We start from the raw sequence: 6,454 nt of genomic DNA on the forward strand, positions 1-6,454 counted from the left end.
TATAAAGAAAGAAAGAAAGAAGACAGAAGAGAGATGAGGTTGAAGAGCTGACCCTGTGTTGTGGGGTAAACAGTAATGCCTTTGGTGGGTTAACATGGAAGACAGGAGAAAGCTTAGCTCTGAGGGCAGAGATGCCACATTTACTTTAAAACATACTTATTTTGATGTGCTAATGAAATTTACAAATTCATTCACCGAGTGAGAATTTGTCAAATGTCTGCTATCTGGGTGTTCCTTCTTTTAATACTTAGGATATATCATAATCACTAAATAAGTTTTCTATTGCTCTGTCTCATTTAGGAGACCACTGAAAGTATCATATTGACATCATAGCCTATAAAACATTCTCAAACCAACACAGTTGCAAAGTTGTCTCCTTCCTCTGAACTTCTGTATTATCATCTCCACCACTCATTGAGTACTTAGCATATACGAATGTGTGTGTGTGTGTGTGTGTGTGTGTGTATATATATATATGTATTCTCTACCCCCCAATGTCAGATTTTTAATTACATTATAAGTGGCTTAAGAGCAGGTATCATTATAGTTATTCTTTTACTCTCCCACAGTGCCCTACCCAGAGTAGGAATTCAGTAATGCTTTAATTGTTAGATTAGGAAATTTCTTTTCCTTTTATCTTGTAAGAAAAAGATACATCTTTTCTTAGCCTTGTAAACTAGAATGATCAGTAACATTTCACATCCAGAACACATGGCTACTGTAAAAGGAGCCACAGAAGCTAAATTGGCCTTGGACTGTGGAAAAGACAGCTGAATAACGGCAAGAGCTAAGAAACTATTTAACATCCCACTTTCAATAGCAACAGTTTTACAAACAGGAAGAGGCAGCGTACAAACTTTAGCAAAGGAGTACCCAAACAGCAAACCCAAAGCAGGAACTAAGAGACCCAACAGAATCACCTCTAGATTATCTGTTTTTAAGAACACTAATCCCACTGTGAAAGTCAAATAAATTCCTACGAACATTAAAATAAAACTCAGAGGTCTAATTATTCTCTCTAAGAAGCTTGCTTTTTCAGGTATTCTATGCTTGATGACTATTCCAATTGATACTGGCACAAGTATGAAAAGGAGTGTTGACACAATTTTAGAAACAGGAATATGGAATGTACCTGACAACCCTAATATCCTACTGTATATATAAGAATTGACAGGCATCATGATCAGAGCCAATAATGTTGATGTGCAAGTCATCAAAATGGCCAATGTGAAATCTCCATCTAGAAGCAGAGCAAAGAGATAGCCCCCACCCCCTCCTGGGCACGTGCAGGTCATTACAACTCCAAAAGCTTGCGCCTCAGGCAATGCCACAATCTGAGACAAAAGAAACCCGCAAAATGGCATCAGAAAAAACTGTGTAACTGCCCCAAGAATTACTGGCAAAGGTCTCTTCCATACTGTTTGAAACAGCTGTAATTCAATCTTACAACCAAATGCACACTTATTCAATAGTATTAGTGGTAAAATAAGCATTAGGATATTTCTATCAATATGCATTGGTGCCTGGAGTAGACTGTCTTTTTGTTTGAGCACTTTGACTTTCACATTCTTGATTTCTTCAATGAGTCTTTCTTGCCTACCTTCAGAATCCCAGAGTTGAATAGTCACATTTGTTTCTCCTTCTTCATCAGTCACCAGATTTATGGTAAAGTTTGTAGCATCTGATGAGATCTTCTTGGCCACATTCACCATTTGTAGTATTTTAGGATCTTCTATTTTCACAAAGAGGTGGCTGGAATTAGGCCGTTTATTTTCGTAGCTTGAACTTACAAGGATGGTTTCTTCAGTCTTTGTGAAAAATAGTATTTCAGTCTTCTCTATATTCAGAAAACTGAGCGATGACATCCTTGCTTCTTCTATAGTCACAAGCAACAAAAGTAGAACAATAAAAAGTTTTCTAATCATTTTGAAAGCTGAAATAAATCATATATGCAAAATCGTTTTTAAAAAATGAAAGAACATTCTTCATGCAGGTGTTCCAGTGACAGTCTGAGGGTGAGTTAGATAACAGTTGTTTTTGTAGGATCAAAGTCCAGTAGGAGGGACTGCTGTACTTTTAAACAAATATATAGCCATCTAAGCAGCAACACAACCGGTTTAACTTGTGATTAAGACAATTAAAAAGTCATGGCATTTAACAGATTCGATTTATCACAACAGAAATCTAATCTCTTCCTCTTGATTTCCTCATTTCTGCTTATGCGAAAAAAAAAAGCCTCCTATTTACTTGAATTTAAAGCTTAGTGTCATCATTCGTTAGTTATTTCTTGCTAAAAAAAAAAAAATTAAAAGCAGTCAGGATCAAGAAATCTGTAACAGACACTGAGGAAACCTAGAGTTCAGTGTTACCATTTTGTTCAATCAAGTCGAAGTCAAATCAATATTCACTGAATGTCTCTTTGCCTAGGGCATGGAATTGGGAGCTGGCCATCCCATAATGATTAAGCCAGATGCAGTCGCTGCTCTCCTGGAGCTTAGTGGGGTGACCCAATATCACAAGTTAGAAAACTGCAGAGCCCAGACACTGGCCTTGGCAGCATCCCTTGGCTGCTAATAGTTTTCCTGCATCTCTGAAGGATGATTTAATCTGTCAAGCAAAAACTGACACTGTTTTTTGTATACCTAAGTAGGAAAAAAAATTCCTGAATGGTTACCAGATAACTTGGGGACATAGGGAAAGTAGGTAGCTGGTGCCACGGCCAAAGGTACAGGCTGGTTAAGGGACCACAGCTACTGGACACTTGGACCCTGACACGATGGGGCAATGGAAAGACACTGGCATTGATTCTAATCTTTTATTCCTTGTTTGTAACACTACTCTCTGTTCACAGTTAGGGGCAAGGGCATTCAATTGACCCAATTTGGTCATATCCCTTGGTTGCCAGGAATGAGAAAAAGCATCAGGCTTTTTGGATTTCAACCCATAGACTCACACACTTGTATATTTCCCACACAAGGGGTGGGTGTCCTGATGCTAAGCAGCAAACCAACCAGCCGACCAACCAACCAACCAAACGTTTACTATTAAGCCTACAGATGTAGTAGTCTCTGAACACATGACCATTTCAGCAGCTCTTTCATGTAATCATGATGCAATGTGTTCAAGGTAATGCCAATTTGTATTAAGTATTTTAGATCATTTGTTCCTCAAAAATGTGAAACCTTTTTGTCATTTTAACGAGTTTTATAAAAGTATACCATTTATGTCGGTTAATCTTTCAAATGCAGTAGACCTTAGGTCTCATAAATTTTATTAATATGTACCACATTAAGAAAAACAAGATCCGCTGTACCAATGGTGAGGATAGGGAATGGGACTGTTCATTGATATTTCAGTTAAAATTTCCCTATTTTAACTGACAAAAACAAAACAAAAAACAAAAATGTCATAAAACCTAAGTTATCTTTAGTTATGTGACCAAATATCTTGACTCATAACTTTTGTTGCCTAGGTCGAAGATGTGAGTATATCAGTTTTTCTTTCCCCTTAGGACTCTTTCTGCAACCCTTTTAGTTCTTCGGTTTCTCCAGGCCCTTTCATTTGAAAACCGTGAAGAACAAAGCCTGACAAATCTAGGAAAACTTTGATAATCTATCATTCATCTATATAAGTGTTCTTCTAAATTTTCATGGAAAATATGTATTATAAAAAAGTGTGTATGAATTTCAATTTTTTTTTTGCACCAGAATAAACTTTTTGTAACATGTCTGAACAGGATCTAGTGAGGGACACTAACTATGATAAGACATTTAGAAAAGAGCTCTTTTATCAGAGAAACATAAATTCTGCTAAAATTGAAGGAAGAACACACATCAAATTTATGGTGAGGTTTGGGTGGAAGAATGGTGAAATCATTGATGCTTCACATAAAGGTTATGGAGACAATACCCCAAGGAGATCTGCAGTTTACAAATGGATAACTCATTTTAAGAGATGAGACAATGTTGAAGATGAAGCCCGTAGCAGCAGACCATTCACAGCAATTTGTGAAGAAAAAAAGCACAGACAATATCTAATATGGTTTGGCTGTGTGTCCCCACCCAAATCTCATGCAGAAGTGTAATGACAGGAAGTGTTGGAGGAGGGACATGGAGGGAGATGATTGGATCATGTGCATGGCTTCTGATGGTTTAGCACCATCGCCCTAGTGCTGTCCCATGATAGAGTTCTCACAAGATCTGGTTGTTTGAAAGTGTGTAGCACCTCCCTCTTCACTTGCTGTCTCCTGCTGGCCATGTGAAGATGTGCTTTCTTCCCCTTCTCCCATGATTTTAAGTTTCCTGAGCCTCCCAGCCATGCTTCCTGTAGAGCCTGTGGAACTGAGTCAAGCTTCTTTTCTTTATACAGTACGCACTCTCAGGTAATTCTTTTTTGGGAGGACAGAGTTTCACTCTTGTCACCCAGACTGGAATGCAGTGGTGCTCTCTCGGTTCACTGCAAGCTCCGCCTCCCAGGTTCAAGTGATTCTCCTGCCTCAGCCTTGTGAGTAGCAGGGATTACAGGTGTTTGTCATCATGCCCAGCAAATTTTTGTATTTTTAGTAGATATGGGGTTTCACCATGTTGGCCAGGTTTGTCTCGAACTCCTGATCTCAGGTGATCCACCTGTCTTGGCCTCCCAAAGTGCTGGGATTACAGGTGTGAGCCACCACGCCCGACCTCATGTAGTTCTTTATAGCAGTGTGAGAATGGACTAATACAATATCCAACATCATAGATGTCTCAGTTGGTTCAGCTTACACAATGCTGACAGAAAAATTAAACTTGAGCAAACTTTCCACTTGATGGGTACCGAAACTATTGCACCCAGATCAGCTACAGACAAGAGTACTTTTGTTCTCCTGGTGGGTTTTCTACTTAAAATTTCAGTTGTCTTTCAATAAAAATTTTAAACAAGTGGGATCAAGATCCTGAAGGATTTCTTCCAAGAATTGTAACAGGAGATGAAACATGGCTTTACCAGAATAATCCCGAAAACAAAGCACAAACAGAGCAATAGCTACCAAGAGGTGGAAGTGGTCCAGTCAAAATAAAAGTGGACTAGTCAAAAGCAAGGTCATGGCAACTATTTTTTGGGATGCTCAAAGCATTTTTCTTGTTGACTTTCTGGAGAGCCAAAGAACAATAACGTCTGCTTATTATAAAGGTGTTATGAGGCTGGGTACAGTGGCTTATGCCTGTAGTCTCAGCACTTTTGGTGGCCAAGGCAGGAGGATCCATTGAGGCCAGGAGTTCAAGACCAGTCTGGGCAACATAGCAAGACCTATCTCTACAAAAAGAAAAAAAAAATATGAGAATGTTTAGAGACAGCCAAAGTTTTAGCAGAAAAATGCCCAGGTAAGCTTCACCAGAGATTGCTTCTCCACTAAGACAATGCTCCTGCTCATTCCTCTCATAAAACAAGGAAAATTTTGAATTTTGATGGTAAATCATTAGGCATCTACCTTAGGAGGTCTAATTTTGCTTCTTCTGACTTCCTGTTTCCTAATCTTTAAAAAAAAAAAAAAACTTTAAAGGGCACCCATTTTTCTTTAGTTAAGAAACAGACTGCATTAACATGATTAAATATCCAGGACCATCAGTTATTTTGCAATGGACTAAGTGGCTGGCGTCATTGCTTACGAAAGTGTCTTAAACTTGATGGAGCTTATGTTGAAAAATAAAGTTTATGTTTTATATTTTTATCTGTTTTCTTTTTTGAGACAGGGTCTCGCTTTATTGCCCAGGCTGGAGTATAGTGGCAAGATCATGGCTCACTGCAGCCTCGACCTCCTGGGCTCCAGTGATCCTGCTGCCTCGGCCTCCCAAAGTATCAGGATTACAGGTGTGAGCCACCACACCTGTCCTTTTTTTTTTTTTTTTTGAGACGAAGTCTTGCTCTGTCACCCAGGCTGGGGTGCAATGGTATAATCTTGGTTCACTGCAACCTCCCCCTCCTGGGTTCATGTGATTCTCCTGTCTCAGCCTCCCAGGTAGCTGGGATTACAGGCATGCACCACCATGCCTGGCTAGTTTTTTGTATTTTTAGTAGAGATGGGTTTCACCATGTTGGCCAGGCTGGTCTTGAACTCCTGACCTCAAGTGATCCACCCACCTCAGTCTCCCAAAGTGCTGGGATTACAGCCTTGAGCCACTGTGCCCAGCCCTGGCCTATTTTTATCTTTCAGTTTTTCCATGAACTTTTTGAAGTTCCCTAGCATTTGCTGCCTGATTTTTTAAACTAGAACTCATTTTTATTATATTGTTATTTCCATTACTTATGTAAATTTAAAACACTTTTATTCTCTTTGTGGATTTGCTACTTGAAATTTGTCTGCAAGCAGGTGGAAAGATGCTAGAGTGGAGTGGGGAGAGTGAATCTTTAAAATTTTTCTAAGCATCCTCAACTGAAAACCCTAATCGAAAGCCTGAGAAAGTTGTCTGCTTTCTGAGTA

At 39.1% G+C, this 6,454-nt stretch overlaps 1 protein-coding gene across 1 annotated transcript; it reads right to left on the minus strand.

Moving 5' to 3' along the window:
• Positions 1-583: 583 nt before the first annotated feature.
• On the minus strand, positions 584-2,011 carry SLC10A5 (solute carrier family 10 member 5). Its single transcript, NM_001010893.3, has one exon. It carries the CDS (start codon positions 1,923-1,925, stop codon positions 609-611), a length of 1,317 nt encoding a protein of 438 aa, NP_001010893.1. The 5' UTR covers positions 1,926-2,011; the 3' UTR covers positions 584-608.
• Positions 2,012-6,454: the final 4,443 nt, after the last annotated feature.

Source organism: Homo sapiens, chromosome 8 (assembly GCF_000001405.40).
Source record: "Homo sapiens chromosome 8, GRCh38.p14 Primary Assembly".
Taxonomy (NCBI): Eukaryota; Metazoa; Chordata; class Mammalia; order Primates; family Hominidae; genus Homo; species Homo sapiens.

Excerpts from the sequence above, each read along its gene's own strand:
- SLC10A5 (NM_001010893.3), bottom strand. The coding sequence starts at position 1,925 with ATGATTAGAAAACTTTTTATTGTTCTACTTTTGTTGCTTGTGACTATA.